The sequence below is a fragment of the Homo sapiens genome, chromosome 13, assembly GCF_000001405.40.
Source record: "Homo sapiens chromosome 13, GRCh38.p14 Primary Assembly".
Lineage (NCBI taxonomy): Eukaryota > Metazoa > Chordata > Mammalia > Primates > Hominidae > Homo > Homo sapiens.
In genome coordinates, this window is record NC_000013.11 from 19,171,346 (window position 1) to 19,191,487 (window position 20,142).

At 49.1% G+C, this 20,142-nt stretch overlaps 1 protein-coding gene and 1 long non-coding RNA gene across 2 annotated transcripts; one reads left to right on the plus strand and one right to left on the minus strand.

Annotated features, from left to right (window-relative positions):
- Window positions 1-2,426: 2,426 nt before the first annotated feature.
- TUBA3C (tubulin alpha 3c) lies at window positions 2,427-10,479 on the minus strand. The gene is made up of 5 exons (NM_006001.3): window positions 10,400-10,479; window positions 7,996-8,218; window positions 6,901-7,049; window positions 5,582-6,262; window positions 2,427-2,814 (listed from the first exon to the last, which is right to left on the minus strand). Exons 1-5 carry the CDS (start codon window positions 10,400-10,402, stop codon window positions 2,518-2,520), a joined length of 1,353 nt encoding a protein of 450 aa, NP_005992.1. The 5' UTR covers window positions 10,403-10,479; the 3' UTR covers window positions 2,427-2,517.
- Window positions 10,480-10,687: 208 nt separating this feature from the next.
- On the plus strand, window positions 10,688-16,120 carry LOC101928697 (Putative uncharacterized protein LOC645739). The gene is made up of 3 exons (NR_126054.1): window positions 10,688-10,797; window positions 13,880-13,997; window positions 15,775-16,120. It is a non-coding gene; the product is annotated as a Putative uncharacterized protein LOC645739 (long non-coding RNA).
- Window positions 16,121-20,142: the final 4,022 nt, after the last annotated feature.

Sequence of the window (20,142 nt, forward strand, 5' to 3'; positions counted from 1 at the left end):
CTGATGTGATGGTGCCAATGAGAAGAGAAGCTTTGGATTCTTCCAGTGTGGTACATGGCATACCAAGCAGTGTTGCTTTAGACTTGGGCCAGTTAAGTAAGTCAGCCTCTTAACAAAATACATTTTTTGTGTGTGATAGAAGACTAAGAAAATAAAATAAAATAAACGCAATGAAGAAAACAAATAAAATAAAAACATAAAATAAACAAGATACATATTTTTTGAGACAGGGTCTCAGTCTGCTGCCCTGGCTGGAGTGCAGTGGTGCAATCATGGCTTACTGCGGCCTTGACCCCAGTGTCTGGGAAGATGCGAGGCCCCAGCCAGGGTTTGAGCCTGCTGGCGGAACATGTAGCCAACCAAGTCACAGAGTGGTCAAGGCGCTCTCTCGGTCAGGACAAAGGAAAAGCTGGGGGGATGAAATGGAGGATCCAACACTGTGAATCAAGCAGGGGACACATGCCCTGGTTAGAGCCCACGGGGCAGACCCTGCCAGGCTGGAGCAGAGGAGAGCCCTAGCCAAGGCACTCCACATAGAGGGTTGTGACCCCACAGGCAAGCCTGCTACCCGGGCACATTTGTCCCCTGAAGGGTCCTCTCAGTTGGTCTTGCTAATGCTGTCAACACCCTGAGCCCAGGGAAATCCATTAAAGTAAAGCTCTGGCCCCAGTGTCCTTGCAGATCTTTCTTGGCTATCTTCACAAAAAAGAGTAAAGTAAGCAAATTACAAATCAAAGAAACTCTGAACCCGTGGTCTTTATCTGAGTGAGACTCTGGCGGTCAGAAGGAAAGTCTCAAGCATTCAGACTGTGGCAGGAACCCAGCTGTGGAATCAACAGCTAAACCCAAGAGCGAGAGGCTTGACCAGTGTTTGCAGAACACTTGGGTAGGTAGGAAACAACGTAAGAGCTTCCAAAATCAAAATCAGAAACCCGATTCCAGGACTTGATGACTGCAGTACTTCCTGCCTATCACTGTCTGGGGCAGCTCAGATGTACGGTCCAGCGTGAACACACCTGGAGGATGAGGTGGCGAGCCCCTGCTGCTGCTGCCACTGCTGGCACCATCAGGGCAGACCAGGTTTGCTGTCCAGGCCAGGTGTGAACTGGCCGTGGCTACCTTTCCCTAAATGGACCTGTGGTGTGTGTCCTTTCAAAATGTTCCCTTGGCAGTGTGCTCTCTGCATGGCTTTGCTCCTGGGACACATCCTAAAGGGTCCCCTGCACACACTGCCAAGGGCTTCTGGGGCATGACCTGTCTTTAGTGGTTCTGGGCCTCAGGACTCAAGGCTGATGCAGGGTCTCTAGCTGAAGCGGCTTTGATGGAAATGTGTAGACACCATGTTGCTCAAGGAGCATGAGTATAGTAGATGCTGCAGTTACAGGGCTCACCCATTCCTAATCATTGTGCTTTGTGTCTCCTCAGAGAGAAACACAGGCAGCACTGCCCTCGGGGGAGCACTGGCCCTGGTGGAATGCAGCGGCCACAAAGGATCCAGCCAGAGGATGCCCCACCTGCCCAGCACTACCAGGCTGCCCAAGGGGGGTGGGCGTGGGAAGAGCCCTACACAGAGAAGCACCTAGGATAGGGCAGAGACTTGTCACATCACTGTCCCCAGCAAAGGCTACGTGTTGTCTCCTTCTGTTGATGATAAACCTTTCTGAGATGCAGAGCATCCAGGTCCGACATTCTCTACCGTTTTTTTTTTAATTATATTAAGGCACAGACTTAGAATGACATTTTTGTGCCATTCCTGGTTGTGCCACAGCTGAACTAACCAGGTCCCTTCACCATGGGTCAACTTCCTGGACCTGATTTGGGTTCTGAGAAAAGGCATCTGGATTGCCAGGTTTTTTATAAAACATCAGCAAGCTTCACTTGAAGTGGAAGTGGGAGGTTTTCTACCAAGATCATTGATTGACAGTGCTGAGGGGCAGAGTGGCCGTGTGTGTGCACGGAGGGCAAATGCTGTCTTCCAGGTTACTGTGGAAGGCTGGGTGTGTTGTAACCTTCTATGGGTCACGAATGCTGTGCAGAACACAGTAACACTCTTTCCCTTCTAAAATGTCCTGACCTTACACATTTGACCCACAGCTTTAGGGATTTCATGGACAAGCCCCATCCACAGACCTCAGATTTAAACACTCCATGTCTAGACTCTTCTTTGTAGCTCGCATCACCCATCAATAGAAAAGCCCCCAAAGTTGCAAATTCAGTTGAAAACCCTGACTGTGCTTTCCTAGAATTTAGGAAATCTATTTCTCCGTGTCAAGTTACTTCTGTGGCAGCTCCTTAAGTATGTACCATCCCGCTGCACCCAACTCCATGCTAGCAGGGCAGGCTGGCACCCCACCACTGTCCATGCAGGCTCTGGGGGTCCCACCTGCTCCTGCAGGCAAAGCTAGGCAGTACGATACACAGAGGTCTTGGTTTTATACAGAACCTTTAATTGCAAAGAACTTGAAAGCAGCCACGCTGGGGGTGGCAGTGGAGTGGAGAACCCACCACACCCTCCCCTCAGTATTCTTCACCTTCTTCAGCCTCGGCTTCCACGGAATCCACGCCCACCTCTTCATAATCCTTCTCCAGAGCTGCCAGGTCCTCGCGGGCCTCAGAGAACTCCCCCTCCTCCATGCCTTCTCCCACGTACCAGTGCACAAAGGCCCGCTTGGCATACATGAGATCGAACTTATGGTCCAGGCGAGCCCAGGCCTCCGCGATGGCCGTGGTGTTGCTCAGCATGCACACAGCCCGCTGCACCTTGGCCAGGTCTCCCCCAGGGACCACCGTGGGGGGCTGGTAGTTAATGCCCACCTGCCGGAGAAGAGGAAGAAACAGTCCATGAAGCTTATATCAAACCTGGAAATGGTGGCTGCTTTTCCTCAAAAAGAAGACACCCTGTAGGTGAACAGGAGAATTCTCAGTTCACCCCACAAATGTCACTAAGCCCTTCTCTGTGCCAGGCAGGGTGACAGTTCCAGACAACATATGTTGCCCAGGCTGGCCTCAAACTCCTGGGCCCAATCGATCCACCCACCCCAGCCTCCCAAAGTGCTAGGATTACAGTCATGAGGCAGCATGCCCAGCATTTTTTTTTTTTTTTAAGAATAAGGTATTTTCTAAAGGATTTTTGTGCCCCTTTCTTGGGTGGTAGAATTCATGTGGAAAAGGTAGGTTGAACTTAGTAATTTTATGGGCATTTTGGGGAATCTTGTAGGTGGTGTATATATTTTATTTTAACTTGGGCATTACTATAAACTGCTTCACAACATCATTCGTTCCACTGTCTCATGTAGGGTTTGATTTAAAAAAAGAATGAGTTGTTTGTGATGAAAACAGCAACAGGTGCAGTGGCTCACACCCATTATCCCAGCTCTTTGGGAGGCCAAGGTGGATTTCTTGAACTGAGTTTGAGACCAGCCTGGGCAGTATGGCAAGACCCTGTCTCTACCAAAAATACAAAAAAATTAGCTGGGCATGGTGTCATGCACCTGTGGTCCCAGCTACTCAGGAGGCTGAGGTGGGAGGATTGCTTGAGCCTGGAGGGCAGAGGTTCCAATGAGCTGAGATCCTACCACTCCTTGGGTGACAGAGCAAGACCCTGTCTCAAAAAAATTAAAAGGCCGGGCACGGTGACCCACACCTGTAATCCCAGCACTTTGGCAGGCCGAGGTGGACAGATCACGAGGTCAGGAGATCGAGACCATCCTAGCTAACATGGTGAAACCCGGTCTCTACTAAAAATACAAAAACAAAATTAGCCGGGTGTGGTGGCGGGCGCCTGTAGTCCCAGCTACTCGGGAGGCTGAGGCGGGAGAATGGCATGAACCCAGGAGGCGGAGCTTGCAGTGAGCCAAGATCACGCCACTGCACTCCAGCCTGGGCGACACAGCAAGACTCCGTCTCAAAAACAAAACAAAACAAAACAAAACAAAAAGCAGCAACGTCTTTATTTCTTTTCCGGGAAGCCTAGTAATTTTGGCCTGGGTTTGCCTCAGACACAAAATCTGTCCCCACCTTCCACTGACACAAAAGAAACCTTGCTGTCCTCTTTCAGCTTTATCAATAGTTGGTTACTAAATCTTGTGGCATTTCTCTGTTGGGCCTGTGCGTTCTTGTGCTGTGCTTTCCCTGCTGCCTCTGGCTCAGACCCCCACCGTCTCTGTTGGGGGAGACCACTGCAGTCAGTTCTGACTGGGATTTCCTACTGTGGGTGTCTCTTCTTCTCCTTCAGGGGTTAGCACAGCTGCTGGACTAGCCACCTAATTTTGTAAGATCTTGTCTGAACACAGCCACCACACCCCTTCATTTGCAGATTGATTTTGCTATCCGACAGCAGAGTGGGGTAGGTGTGACAGAGGTCGTGTAACCTGTAAGGCCTAGAATTTGTATGATCTTGTCTTTTTTTCTTTTTTTGAGACAGAGTCTTGTGCTGTCACCCAGGCTGGAGTGCAGTGGAGTGATATCTTCTCACTGCAACCTCCACCTCCTGGGTCCCAGTGATTCTCCTGCCTCAGCCTCCTCAGTAGCTGGGATTACAGGTGCCCGCCACCATACCCGGCTAATTTTTGTATTTTTAGTAGACACGGGATTTTGCCCTGTTGGCCAGGCTGGTGTCAAACTCCTGACCTCAGGTGATCCGCCTGCCTTGGCCTCCCAAAGTGCTGGATTATAGGCATGGGCCACCATGCCCATCCAATTTTTGTATTTTTAGTGGAGAGCTGTGATCACCACACTGCACTCCAGCCTGGGTGACAGGTGGGATTCTGTCTCAAAAAAGTAAATAAATAGGGTTGAGCACAGTGGCTCATGCCCGTAATCCCAACATTTTGGGAGGCTAAGACAAGCAGATCACTTAAGACCAGGAATTTGAGACCAGCTTGGCCAACATGGTGAAATCCCTTTACTAAATACACAAAAATTAGCTGGGTGTAGTGGTGCATGTCTGTGGTCCCAGCTACTCAGGAGGCTGAGGTGAGAGAATCACTTGAGCCTGGGAAGCAGAGGTTGCAGTGAACCGAGATCACACCACTGCACTCCAGCCTTCTCAACAACAAAGTAAGTAAGTAAAGCTCATCACAGATACATAGTGTAATGACTTAGAAAGAGTTCAAAAGACATCACTGGGCCAGGCACAGTGGCTCACGCCTCTAACCCCAGCACTTTGGGTGGCCAAGGTGGGTGGCTCACCTGAGGTCAGGAGTTCAAGACCAGCCTGGCCAACATGGCATAACCCTGTTTCTACTAAAAATATAAAAATTAACTGGGTGTGGTGGTGGGTGCCTGTAATTCCAGCTACTTGGGAGGCTGATGGAGATTGCAGTGAGCTGAGATCACACCACTTTACTCCAGCCTGGGCGACAAAGCTAGACTCTGCCTCAAAAAAAAAAAAAAAAAAAAAAAAAAAAAAAAAAGACATCACTGAATTAATGATCACTCTGGTTCACTAATTGATGCCCACATGCCTAGCCCATGGAATAGGGGTAGTATCCTCAAAGGATGTGGGCCTTCAGGGGCAGCATTACTCTGTGTGTCTGTTGCTTGCTGAAAGGTACAAGGACTCCACATTACCCAGTCATACCTTAAATCCAGTTGGGCACCAATCTACAAACTGGATGGTGCGCTTGGTCTTGATGGTGGCGATGGCCGCGTTGACATCTTTCGGGACCACATCCCCCCTGTACAACATGCAGCAGGCCATGTACTTGCCGTGGCGAGGGTCACACTTGACCATCTGATTGGCTGGCTCGAAGCAGGCATTGGTGATCTCAGCCACGGACAGCTGCTCGTGGTAGGCCTTCTCGGCTGAGATGACCGGGGCGTAGGTGGCCAGGGGGAAGTGGATGCGGGGGTACGGCACTAGGTTGGTCTGGAATTCCGTCAAGTCCACATTCAGGGCCCCGTCAAATCGCAGGGAGGCCGTGATGGAGGACACGATCTGCCCAATCAGGCGATTGAGGTTGGTGTACGTGGGACGCTCGATGTCCAGGTTGCGCCGACATATGTCATAGATGGCTTCATTGTCGACCATGAAGGCACAGTCAGAATGTTCCAGGGTCGTGTGGGTGGTCAGGATGGAGTTGTAGGGCTCCACCACGGCCGTGGAGACCTGGGGGGCTGGGTAAATGGCAAATTCTAGCTTGGACTTCTTGCCGTAATCCACTGAGAGCCGCTCCATGAGCAGAGATGCGAACCCAGAGCCAGTGCCACCCCCAAAACTGTGGAAGATGAGGAAGCCCTGCAGTCCCGTGCACAGATCCGCCTGAGGGAAACCAGACAACATGAATCAATGCCCGTGGAAGCCACACCACCAACCTCCACCAAGCCAGGGCCACTTCTCTGCCTCTGAAGACTTGATATGGATTCCAATCATCCATAATAAACACGCAGTACACTCTGAAGCAAAGAAAAGCAGACAAAGATCTACAGACAAATCACCATGCATACTTCAGACTAAGACCATTGCAGACGCAATAGGACTCAAGATACTGTTCTAAGTTGTTTTTTTTTTTTTTTTTTTAGATAGAATCTCACTCTGTTGCCCAGGCCGGAGGGCAGTGGCATGAACTCCGCTCAGTGCAACCTCTGCCTCCCGGGCTCAAGCCATTCTCCTGCCTCAGCTTCCTGAGTAGCTGGGACTACAGGCAGGCACCACCACGCCTGACTAATGTGTGTATTTTTAGTAAAGACAGGGTTTCACCACGTTGGCCAGGCTGGTCTCAAACTCTTGACTTCAGGTGACTGCCCACCTTGGCCTCCCAAAGTGTTGGGATTACAGGCGTGAGCCACCAGACCCAGCCAACGCACTGGTCTAGGTTTTGACAAAATGACCTCCCCTTCACAATCTAAGATCTACCCTCCTGTGCAGGACAATGGTCACATGAAGCCTTCTCTTCTTACCAGTTTGCGGATCCGGTCCAGGACCAGGTCGACGATCTCCTTGCCGATGGTGTAATGGCCTCTGGCGTAATTATTGGCCGCATCTTCCTTCCCGGTGATCAGCTGCTCTGGGTGGAAGAGCTGCCTATAGGTTCCTGTGCGCACTTCATCTACAAAAGAGACCGTATGTACTGTGAATCTTTAAGGCCTATACTCACCAAGATGGACACATTCCAGGACTGTTCACTTCTACAAAGTACATGCTGTTCAAAGTACATGACCTACATGTTGTAGGTCAACAGTGGCAGTGTCTGGTAGAAAATGTCTCTGTGTGATAACCAAAGTGCAAATGTGTGATAACCAAACTGTGATTTATGACTCTAGGAAGTGAAACTCAGCTTACAATATAAATGTCAGCACGACCAGCTCCCAGTGAAGGGAAATAAGCTCCAGCACCCCCACACAGGTAATTCTACAGGTACATAATTCTTTCCTACATGTAGCTACATCGAAGGCTGTAAGTTAAAAATGCTTACAAACTGAGAAGTCACCAGGTCAGTGTGACTTCTGCAGGGCAGTCCCATCAGGGCACCCTGTGTGGCCTGGGCCCCACAGGCTTTCAGGTGACACTGTCATCTCATGTGGGGCCACTGAAAGGGGCTGTCTCTTTGCAGCTCTCCTTGGAAACTATCCTGGGCTTCTAATCTGGAGGAAGCAAATGACTGTTCTGTACTTAACCTTCTATGCCTAAGATGCAGGTCAAGACTCTCTTGCACCAGCATAAGAGTACACAGCATTCAGGAGGAAACCAATGCCATTGTGCCCTGCAGGCAGGGCCACCTGAACAGGGCTGAGGCAGCCACGACGGAATCTCTCCACAGCCCATCTTACTGTTGGCAAAGCAGCTTTTCCCTGTAGGCCAGGTTTTCCTAACTTAGGAGCCGAATCTCACAGACACTTTAATCACGAACCTTTCAGTTTCTGTTAACACCATGGGAATATGCTTGTCTATCTCATACCTTCTGCAGGAGGATTCAAAGGAGCCCACATGGGGCCTTACCGACGATGCTCTCCCACCCTCCTAAGAAAGCTGCCATCCAGGACCCGAGCACCTACCGACCACAGTGGGCTCCAGGTCCACAAACACTGCTCTGGGCACGTGCTTGCCAGCTCCAGTCTCACTGAAGAACGTGTTGAAGGAGTCGTCCCCACCACCAATGGTTTTATCACTTGGCATCTGACCATCGGGCTGAATTCCATGTTCCAGGCAGTACAGTTCCCAGCAGGCATTGCCGATCTGGACTCCTGCCTGCCCCACGTGGATAGAGATACACTCACGCTGTGAACCAGAACATAAATGTAGACCCATTCATTTCAAGGCAACTTGAAGCTATATGGTATGCAAAATATTATAATTTAATATTTATATACTGCTTCAGTATCTGGTGCTTTCACAATTGATATTTCCTAGGAGGGTTAGGTGACTGACCCCTTTATCCCTGTGAAAACTTACTTGCTCTACACCATCCCAGCTGCTAAGTTCCAGAGGTAGCCCTAGAACCTAATGTTTGCCACTACACAAAAATTAGATTATTTTAAAACTTGGAAGCCATGTAATGTCAGTAATCAAACCCACATTATAGCCAGTCACAGTAATTCTCTGAAGAATACATAGCAGTTTTTGATTATGTCCTACCAAAGGATAAGGTAATGGGGTTGGGTAAGGAAATAGAGAGTAGGTCCCAGGTCACTGTGGTCCAAGCCCAGGTGTTCAGTATGTGTCCTCTCTCTGCACCCCCAGATCTACCCTCCATCATTCACCACCCGCCCTGTGCTCTCCGAGGCTGACCCATGAGGACAGCATCAGAGGCCTTCCTTGCTCTCTGGCTTCGTGCTGGTTTGTTCAATGACAGGCAGCCGCAGGAGACCAGGAGGCTGGAGGAGAGTGGCGTCAGGGTACTCTCCCCTTGGCCCCTTCCTGCTCACCTTTCATGGGCGATACAAATCCCTCCATCAAGGCCACACTTTTGGCAGGTGGCCCTCTTCATAAAGTTACCCTCTCAATTTTTCGTAAGCACTCCCTCCCCTCTACCCCTTGAAGCCTAGGAGTGTAATGGCTCCCAGATGTCATCAGTGCTGGGACACTGCACTGTCCTTGGTGGTTTCTTTAAGCCCTGACAAGCCGGATGTGGTGGCTCATGCCTGTAATTCCAGCACTTTGGGAGGCTGAGCTGAGATCGCTTGGGACCAGTTTGAGACCAGCCTGGGCAACTATGAAAAAAAATTTTTTTTTTTTAAACAGAGTCTTGCTCTGTCACCCAGGCTGGAATGCAGTGGCACAATCTCAGCTCACTGCAGCCTCTGCCTCCCGGGTTCAAGCAATTCTCCTGCCTCAGTCTCCCACGTAGCTGGGACTACAGGCCACTATGCCCAACTAATTTTTTGTATTTTTAGTAGAGATGGGGTTTCACCGTGTTAGCCAGGATGGTCTCGATCTCCTGACCTTTTGATATGCCCGCCTTGGCCTCCCAAAGTGCTGGGATTACAGGCGTGAGCCACAGCGCCCGGCCGAAAAATTTAAACATTAGCCAGCTGTGGCAGCACACACCTGTAGTCCCAGCTACTCAGGAGGCTGAGGCAGGAGGATTGCTGGAGCCCAGGGGTTCAAGGCTGCAGGGAGCCGTGATCGTGCAACTGTGCTCCAGCCTGGGCAACAGAGCTGTTGTTGAGCCGTTTCAAAAAAAAAAAAAAAAAGATACTTGACAAACCACGGCCACTGCTATTCAGACTTGGGACTTAGAAATCTATTCTTTATGTGAATGCGTTGGTTGCTTTTTTTTTTTTTTGAGGCAGGGTCTCTCTCTGTCGCACAAGCTGGAGTGCAGTGGCACCATCATGACTCACTGCGGCCTCGAAGTCCTGGGCTCAGCTGACCCTCCCACCTCAGCCTCCCGAGTAGCTGGAACCACAGATCCACGCCTCCACCCCGGGAATTTTTCTATTTTTAGTAGAGAAGGGATTTCGCCATATTGGCCAGGCTAGTGAGGAGCCCCTGACCTCAGGGGATTCCCCGCCTCCAACTCCCGTCTGAGCTTTAATTCCTGATCTGACCAATGTCCACAGCCCTTGCCTCCATCAACAAGGCTCCTGGGGCTCCTCAGTGGTTTCCAATAGGACAGAGACATTTGGAGACCGGAAAGCGGGAGCAGCGCCCTTCTGTCTTCAGGAGGCGGCACCACTGTTTGCTCTCTGGGGGACAGGACACGGTCAATGCTCCCCGTCCACTGACTCAAGGCCGGCAGCTTCGTCTAAAACAAAAGCTGCCATCCCTGCCCTGGAGCCCGCAGACCCAGCAGACGATGCCGTGTCCTCGTGTCCCGCCCTGGGCCCCGCATCCTTCTCTGACCTCCTTTCTGCACCCTGGCCCGCAACAGCATCCCTCCATCCAGCCACCTCAGGAGGCCAACTTCGTCCACCCTCCAGCCTGGGCGTCTGCGGGGTGGGAGTGACCTGGCCTTACCATGTTGAGCTCCTCCGCTGCCGCAGCCCAACGCTACTACTTGACCTCAACCGCCGCTGCAGCTGCGCACGCCCAACGACAGCCTCCCGCCGTGCGCTGTCTGGGATTGGCCTGCTGGTGCCAGGCCACCATTGGTCCGGACGTCCTGGGAGGCGGGCCAAGGCTCGGATCCTAGTTTTGATTGGCCGTTGTGCAAACCACGTAGTGGGGACGCCCTCTGATTGGATGCAGGATTGGCGGGAAGGCAGCAGGCTCAGAGAGGGCCCTCTGACTGGATGCAGGACTGGCGGGAAGGCAGTGGGGTCAGAGGGCAGTGCGTGGGCTGAGACGTTTCCGGGGGTCCTCTGACCGGGGATGGAGCAGCTACTGCGTCTTTATAGGTGGAGGAACATTGCTTTGTAAGTAAGCTCCCAGCCTTGCAGTGGCTTGACCACGAACTTGTGCCGCTGCCTCCTCCCCAGTTGCCCCAGACCGGTTCCTCTGGAGGTGCCTTATTCAGATCTTTGCAAACATGGCCGCCTTTGAGAGGCCTTCACGGCATCTACCCAAGTCACAGCAGCACAGCAATCACCCCACCTTCCCACCCAGCACCCGGGAAGTGGCGGGATTCGATCACTTTTGTGATCTGAAAGGAAAAAGTGAGTGGGTTTCTGTGGCTCACGTCTGTAATCCCATCACTTCGGAGGCAGAGGCGGGCAGATCACCTGAAGTCAGGAGTTGGAGACCAACCTGGCCAACATGGTGAAATCCCGTCTCTACTAAAAATACAAAAACTATCCGGGTATGGTGGGCGTGCCTGTAATCCCAGCTACTCGGGAGGCTGAGGCTGGGGAATTGCTTGAACCCGGGAGGCAGAGGTTGCAGTTAGCCGAGATCGCACTGCAGCCTGGGCGAGACTCCGTCTTAAAAAAAAAAAGAAAAGAAAAGAAAAGAAGAAGCAGAGGTAAAATTAATATAGGTGGAGAGGTTGGGCTGGGCGCAGTGCCTCAGGCCTGTAATTCCAGTGCTTTGGGAGGCCTCCGCCGGAGGATTGCTTGAGGTCAGGAGTTTGCAACCAGCCTGGGCAACGTGGTGAGACCCGTCCTGCCCCCGTTTCTACAAAAAATAAAAAATGAATAAAATTAGCCGGACATGGTGATGGGTGCCTGTAATCCCAGCTACTCGGGAGGCTGAGGCACAAGAATCGCTTGAATCCGGGAGGTGGAGGTTGCAGTGAGCCGAGATTGTGCCACTGCACTCCAGCCTGGGTGACAGAGGGAGATTCCGTCTCACAAAAAATAAAAAACTAAAAAAAAATACAGTTTATTTGGGCCAAGTTTGCGAACTGCAACCTTGGAGATGCAAGTTGCCTTAATATACACTCTAATTAGCAGCAGTTACAAATGGGTTTTTAAAGGAAAAGAAGGGGCAGTTTCTAAATTGTTTACCAAGAATTTTACAAATAGAGACAGAGTCTTGCTGTGTTGCCCAGCCTGGTCTTGAACTCCTGGCCGGAAGGGAGCCTCCCACCTTGGCTGGCCTGGCCAGAGGAATGTATATTAAAATAACATAAGCTATTTATTGGCTCTATATTGTCTTTTGTATCACAAATTCTAGTAACAGGAAGATAAAGCTAGTCAGGAACAAAATGCCTTTACACAGCTGCTGGGGCATGGGTATGAGGTGTGTGACTGAAGTCCCATATTCCTGTCTCTCTGGGCCTGATACATTCTGCACACCTCGCATAACTCAAAGTGCTTTGAACACTTTTTCTTTTCTCTCTCCTTTAGTGAGAGGGACTGGGTTTATGGCCACCAGGAAAGGGGAAGGCACAGCCCTGTCCTGGGAAGAGCAGAGTAGGGACACAATGCCCATTTTGGAGGAGTCTGGAACAGTCACCTGATTCTTATTTATTTATTGCTTATTTATTTATTTTTTGGACACTGGTTCTCACCATGTTGACCAGGCTGGACTCAAAACCCCTGGGCTCAAGTGATCCTTATGCCTCAGGCTTCCTTGTAGGCTGGGACTACAGGCGTGTAATTCTTCCCAGTTTGATTCTTCCATTTCTAAAGATCATCTTAACAGTGTATATTCAGTTCTGAGAAAAGGCCTGGAGGAGACGTGCTGGCTTACCCCCAGCTCATCACCAGGATGCAGCACCCTATCATGGCATCTCCCTAGAGGGTGGCCAAGCAGGCTCTTAACTTTCCCTCCTGAGAGGAGAGCAGAGAAGAGAGAGGGAGCTCCCCCAGTGGGATGGGACTCACGAGGTCCAGGAGTTGAGACTTTTCTGTGGGCTTTGGGGACCTCTGAACAGTGCAATCAGGTCTGCCCTTAGAAGGATGTTTTGGCACAAAGAGGAGGAGCAGGGAGGGAGATCTGTGGAGAGCCAGGGAAACCAGAGGAGGCCTCTTGCCTCCTGCCTCTTCTCCCCAGAAGGGTGAATCCTTCCATCTTAGTCGGCTCCGGCTGCCCTAAAAAAATACCATCGACTGAGTAGCTTAAACAACAGAGTTTTATTTTCTCACAGTTCTGGAGGCTAAAAGTCCCAGAGGCCTCTTGTCCTGGCTGGCACACAGCCACCTTCTTACCATGTCCTCCCACAGGGTGGGGGAAGGCAGCACTCAAGCTCCCTGGTCTCTTATAAGGACACGAATCCTACTGGATCAGGGCCCACCCTTATGACCTCACATAATCATCATCATTTCCTTATAGGCCCCATCCCCAAATACAGTCACATTGGGGATCGGAGCTTCAGTGTCTAATAATGGGGGGACACAGTTCAGTCCACAGCCCTCCCCTTCCTCAGGGCTCCAACCACATCATGCACAGAACTCAGCTGTAGCCCATGTCACCCCATGCTCTTCAGTACAGTCATGCGTCCCTCAGAGGCTGGGATACGCTCTCAGAAAGCCATCATCAGGCAATTTCGTTGACGTGAGAACATCATAGAGTGTACTTAGACCAACCTACATGGAGCAGCCTACTGCCCACCTAGGCCACATGGTACAGCATATTGCCCCTCAGCTACAGACCTGTACAGTAAGGATTTGTGTATCTAAACATAGAAAAGCTACATGAAAAATAATGGTATTATAATCTTATGGGGCCACTGTTGTATATGCTGTCTGCTGTTGTCCAAAACATCATTATGTGCCACATGACTGCAATATTTATTTTTCTGATTATAAAAGTAACACATATTCCCAGTAGAGAGTGTGGAAAATTAGGAACAAAATATTTACTCTACTGTAAATAACAAAATAAAAATTGAGTCTTGGACGTGCCCATTTTTACTGTAAGTTATGATTCCATAACTGACTTGTAGTAAACAGTATTTCTGGCCCGTAAGTATTGCTGCTTTGTGTATTTTATTTAGTATACAGTACTAAAAAAAAAGTGTTGTCAATTATTAAATCCTTGCAGTAAGCCAGCTAACAAAGTTTACATATAGTCACTACACAGAAAGGAGCACAAATTATTTCCTCTTTTGCTCAGATTCAAACAGGCTTGAGTGACAACTTGAGGACAAGGACACTTTGCCAAGATTTTACGCAGCGGCTGGCAGGGCCAGAGAGGCAGCATGGTGTGGCAGGAGAATGAGGACCTGCGCAAGGTAGGTGGCTCAGTTCTGGGTGAGAAAGGCTTACGAGACTTTGCAGTTTTGTAAGGTTGAGTTCATACAGATGTTTAAAGACCTTCTTGGGACTCCTACTCATGGACTGTCCCTGCTGCATGCAGGACACCAGGGCCAAGCCTGGATCTAGGGACCAGCCGGGTGCTGCATAGCTCGTGTCAGCTGGCTGAGCTTGGCTCCCAGTCATGGCTGCCTACTAGCACCTTGCCTGCAGCAGGCACCCACTTCGCAGTCATCTGCCATCTCCAGTTCAACCCCACAAAGTAAGCAGCAACTCCCCCACCCCTGCCAATTTTGAATGAGGAACTATGTCTGTGTTATCTGCAGTGATACGCTGGGCCTGACACCAGTGACTCCCCCTTCTCTCTCCACCATGTGATGACAGGGAGCTGCAAAAAAGACCATTTGTTAAAATGTGGGTAATTCCCCCATAACTTCTTCATAAATTTGGTTTTTAGTAAGATGTGTGAAACTTTATGTTCAAATGCCAGTATAGTAGTAATAACACAAGTAGGTTCTGTTTTCTAAAATACATTCATTTATACACTTAAGTCCTTGGACCTATAGTTTGTGGTCTGTCCTCTAAAATGTGCCAGATTGTAAACCCAAATTGCTACTTAAGATCATCTGTGGTGTGATTCCCCTGCATGACTTGTCTGGGACTGCAGTGTGGTCTGGGTGCTGTCTCATTGCTTAATGTAGTCACAATAACTCTGAGCCGGGCAGAGAGGCCTGGGGAGGCCTTTCCTCCCCATGCGGGAGCTGCCCTGCCAGCTTGCTCCACCTCTCCTCACTTCCAGTCACAGTCCAGCAGGTGTGACAGCGACTAAACAACCACATTGTTGACCAGATTGGCTGTGGGGAGGTCAGGGTCATCAGTGCAGCAAGTGGTAAGGTTGGGTTGTCAGTACAGCTGACCTCACGGTAAGTCCAACTGTGGCTCTCCACCCAGGGAGACTTTGATTTAAATCTTTTTCTTCTTAATTTTCTTTTCTTTTCTTTGTTTTCTTTTCTCTTTTCTTTTCTTTTCTTTTCTTTCTTTCTTTTTCTTCCTTCATTCCTTCTTTCCTTCCTTCCTTCCTTTCTTCCTTCCTTCCTTCTTTTCTCTCTCTCTTTCCTTTCTGTCCTTTCTTTTCTTTCCTTTCCTTTCTTTCCTTTCCTTCTTTCCTTCTTTTCTTCTTTCTTTCTTTTCTTTCTTGAGATGCGGTTTCACCATTGTGCCCAGGCACTGGTCTTGAACTCCTGGGCTCAAGTGAGCCTCCCACCTCAGCCTCCCAAACTGCTGCGATTATAAGCATGACCCACTGTGCCTGGTCCGATTTAAATCTTAAGTAGTGTGTGTGTGTGTGTGTGTGTGTGTGTGTGTGTGTATTTATGTTTCCGTTTATGTTTAAGTAACTAGATTGAGCGCCCAAATGCTTTATTCACCTTTGCAATTGTGTAGATGACATCAGGCAGAGGTTGACGTTACAGAGCCAGGTGTCCTGCTGTAAGCTATTCCATGCAGTTGCAGGGTCTTGCTTGGTGTGGAGTTGGTGCTCATCACCTGAGCCCAGGTGGTCTTCCCATTGAATGTTTGGCTGGGGTGAGGTGACCACAGGGCTTTTTCCAAGCAAGGGATTTCTCCGATCTTTGGCTTTAATCTGTAACCAGCATTGGCTGTCACTTGTAACTCTTTAATATAGTGTAAGACTAAACCTTCCAGGCCTTTGTTAAGCAAACATAAAACATCTATAATTGTGATTTTTTTTTTCAGCAATTGGTTGAAGCCTCAGAGTTATTGAAATCCCAGGCCAAAGAACTCAAAGATGCCCATCAGCAGCAAAAGCTGGCCCTGCAGGACTTCTTGGAGCTCTGTGAGCTGGTAGCAGAGCTCTGCTCCCAGAAGCAGAAGGTGTGGGACAAGGAGGGGGAGATGGAGGTGGCCATGCAGAAAGTCAACACGATGTGGCAGGAGAGCTGAAGATCCAAGAAGCTCAGAAAGAGGAAGCTATTTATATGGTTCAGTGATGGTATTGATTGGACTTTTTAAAATGTTTCATTATTACACTTTAAGTTCTGGGGTACTTTGTATGACCTTAATAAAACATCTTTGAGGCCGGGCGCGGTGGCTCATGCCTGTAATCCCAGCACTTTGGGAGGCTGAGGCGGGCGGATCATGAGGTCAGGAAATCAAGACCATCCTGGCTAACACGGTGAAACCCCGTCTCTACTAAAAATACAAAAAAAATTAGCTGGGCCTGGTGGTGGGCGCCTGTAGTCCCAGCTACTCAGGAGGCTGAGGCAGGAGAATGGCGTGAACCCAGGAGGCGGAGCTTGCAGTGAGCTGAGATCACGCCACTGCACTCCAGCCTGGGCGACAGAGTGAGACTCCGTCTCAAAAAAAAAAAAAAAAAAACTTTGAAAACTTGAGCTGTATTATGTAAATTACTTTAAAATGGATCTTAAGTTTTTGTGAAACCAAGTAAGTTGATCTGCCGAGCATTTATTTTGTTCTCATCCCTCAATATCTGTGAAATTATTAAAAGAGGTTCCTGTGGTACTAAGTTTTAAAAATTCCCTTGTGGCCGGGCGCGGTGGCTCACGCCTGTAATCCCAGCACTTTGGGAGGCTGAGGCAGGCGGATGGCCTGAGCTCAGGAGTTCGAAACCAGCCTGGGCAACACGGTGAAACACCGTCTCTACTAAAAAATACAAAAAATTAGCTGGGCATGGTGGCGGGCGCCTGTAGTCTCAGCTACACGGGAGGCTGAGGCAGGAGAATGGTATGAACCCAGGAGGCAGAGCCGGCAGTGAGCTGAGATCGCTCCACTGCACTCCGGCCTGGGCGATAGAGCGAGACTCCGTCTCAAAAAAAAAAAAAGAAAAGAAAAGATTTTGGGGGACATTTGAGAAGGCCTGATTGTATTTTGCAACGTAAGGACATGAGATTTGTGGGGGGAGGGGGCAAAGGCTGAATGATATTGTTTGGATATTTGTCCCCACTGAAATCTCTTGTTGAAATGTACTTCCCGGTGCTGGAGGTGGGGCCTGGTGGGAGGTGTTTTGGTCATGGGGATAGATCCCTCATGGTTTGATGCTGTTCTCAGGCTAGTGAGCGAGTTCTCATGAGATCTGGTTGTTTACAAAGTGTGGCATTTCCCCTGCCACTCTTGCTCCCCCTTTGTCTGCTGCCATGATTGTAAGCTTCCTGAGGCCTCCCCAGAAGCAGATGTTGACACTGTGCTTCCTGTATAGCCTGCAGAACCATGAGCCAATTAACCTGCTTTTCTTATAAATTATCCAGTCTCGGGTGTCTCTTTATATCAATTCAAGAACCACTTAATACACTGCATACTACATAGAGATACAAGCATATGTACGAAAGGTATGAAGTATGATGATTATAAACCCTAGTTTCATGGTGGTGTTTATCTGTCTGTGGGGAGGTCAATATGCAGCCTGGGACTGGGTCCCCAGAGGGCTTCCAATGTACTGATAATGTTTTATTTCTTCCATTGGATGGTGGATGCACAGTAGTTCATTGAATTTTTCTATATCCCTTGTGTACATTTTAAATATTTCACATTATTTCCAAATAAATATTGAATTACTTATAAAATGAAAAGCAAAAAGAGGAAGCAATAAAGGGAACTCCAATTTGGATTTATTGTTGATCTATGAAGATGAATTGTGTAAGAATCTTGGCAGAAAGGAAAATTTCAGAACAGATTCATGGTGCTGACCATATGTACATATACCCTAGACTTTGGGGAAAGAAATTTTAAAAAAGAAAATATGTAAGAGTTACATTGACAGAGACTCAAATTTAAATTATAAGTATTCAAGTCCAAGGGATGTAAAATCCAACCAAGTGGTCGACACACAACCCTTCTCCGGTGCCCCTAACCACCCCTGGGGGTTTGTGCAGAGCTTGGATTTTACAGGCCCTCTTCATAAGGTGGAAACAGGGCATCACCAAAAAGAAGCAAAACAGAGGCAGGAGCTATAGAGCAAGAAGACTAAGCCGAGAATAAGCTGATGCTCGCCAGAATACTGGAGCCCACAGAACATCCCTGCAGAGCAGAAAGCCTCCTTAAAGGCCCTGGCACCTGCCCGGGGTGTGGGAAGGTCTGGTGACCTCCAGTAGCTCACAGAGGCTGAGAGTGATCACCTGGCTCCTGGTGGCCCCTGGGGAGCTCTCCCAGCAGGAGAGAGAGCAGAGTCTTCAAAAGCCCGTCACCAGCCAGCTGGCCTGAGAGACAGCAGTTCCTGAGTGGCTGTCTGCTTTCAGGAACTCAGATCAGAGGGCACGGAAGGAACTCACAGCAGGATCACACTGCTGTCATCTGGATACCAAGGACCAGGACATGGGCCAGGAAGCTGGTGTCTGGCAAGTGTCATTTTGTTTCAAAACAGGCAAATAAAAAGAATGTCAAAAATTTGATTTTAATTTTTTGGCAGAAGCCTTTCTCCCTTCCTCCTGTCCTTTTTTCCTCTTCCTTCTTTCCCTCCTCCCTTCCTGTCATCCTTCCTTTTTCCCCTTCTCATTCCCTTCCATCAGCACTTTCTGTGCCCAGAAAATGACAGCAAGCTGCCATGCACCACTGTGCGAGTCCTCTTGCTCCTTGCATTGTCAGCTGCATTTCCATATCATGTATCTAGACTCCCAATTATAGGCCCAGTGCTGTTTTTCTTTATTATCTCCAGTGTCTGGCACAGTGCTAGTCATGAAATACACTTTCCGAATATGTTTGTGGAAGGGAGGGAGGGAGGGAGGAAGGAAGGAAGGAAGGAAGGAAGGAAGGAGGAAGGAAGCAACCAACCAACCCTCCTGGGGTTAACGCTGCCTGTGCTCCCTGAAATTCATGAGGCTATGAATAAAGAATGAGGACCCCCTGTTCCCCACCCTCCCAGCCTTGTGGTGGTGGCTGGGTGTGCAGGGATGGAGGCTGTGTCTTTTGCAAAGTGTCCTCCACCCAAGGGCAAAAACTACATCATAAGTCAAAACCAGCAGGGGGGCCTCCCGAGCCATCGGTGCACGTAGCTCCATACAGTGCTCTGTGAATGCACTTCTGCATGTGTGCAGGTGCATGCAATGGAATCCATTTGATGCTATGAAGGGTGGTAACATTTGAAAAGGGATGAAGGGGAAGGAGAAGAAACACCTGTACTCCTTTGTAGAAGAAGCACCCTGCTTCCTTTGTAGGGGTAGTTTCAGAGGAGGCTGCTCAAACTGAAGGTTTAAAGAAGATCCAGGATCTCATTATACCTAAAATGTCCAAAATATAATAAAAAATCATCATACCAAGAACCAGGAAAGTGTCCATTTGAATGACAAAATACAAGAGGCACCAACCCAGATGTTGGAATTATCTGACAAGCAGCCTTCATCAAAACGTTACAATGAGCAATAACAAACACTCTTCAAACAGGTGAAAAAGAAAATCTCTGCAAAGAACTCAGACACATAAAGAACCAAATGGAAATTTTAGAACTTAAAAATACAATAACCAAAATAAAAACACTTAATGGATGGGCTCAACAGAATGAAGGGAACAGAAGAAAGAATCGATGAAGACAGAACAATAGGAATTAAACAACAGAAAAGGCTGAGTGGGGTGGCTCACCCTTGTAATCCCAGCACTTTGGGAGGCCAAGGTGGGTGGATCACCTGAGTTCAGAAGTTTGAGACCAGCCTGGCTAACATGGCGAAACCCCGCCTGTCTCTACTAAAACTATAAAAATTAGCTGGGCATAGTGGCAGGTGCCTGTAATCCCAGCTACTCGGGAGGCTGAGGCAGGAGAAACACTTGAACTTGGGAGGCGGAGGTTGCAGTGAGCTGAGATCATGCCATTGCACTCCAGCCTGGGTGACACAGGAAGACTCTGTCTCAGAAAAAATAAATTTTAAAAATGGCAGAAAATAGACTGGGCATGGTGGCTCATGCCTGTAATCCTAGCACTTTGAGAGGCCAAGGTGGGCGGATCACGAGGTCAAGAGATGGAGAACATCCTGGCCAACATGGTGAAACATCGTCTCTACTAAAAATACAAAAATTAGCAGGGTGTGGTGGCGCGCACCTGTAGTCCCAGCTACTTGGGATGCTGAGTCAGGAGAATCGCTTGAACCTGGGAGGCAGAGG

Excerpts from the sequence above, each read along its gene's own strand:
- TUBA3C (NM_006001.3), bottom strand. Across the intron at positions 7,050-7,995 it reads CCTGGAGCCCACTGTGGTCG|ATGAAGTGCGCACAGGAACC; the intron begins GTAGGTGCTCGG and ends TCTCTTTTGTAG. Across the intron at positions 6,263-6,900 it reads TGGACCGGATCCGCAAACTG|GCGGATCTGTGCACGGGACT; the intron begins GTAAGAAGAGAA and ends GGTTTCCCTCAG.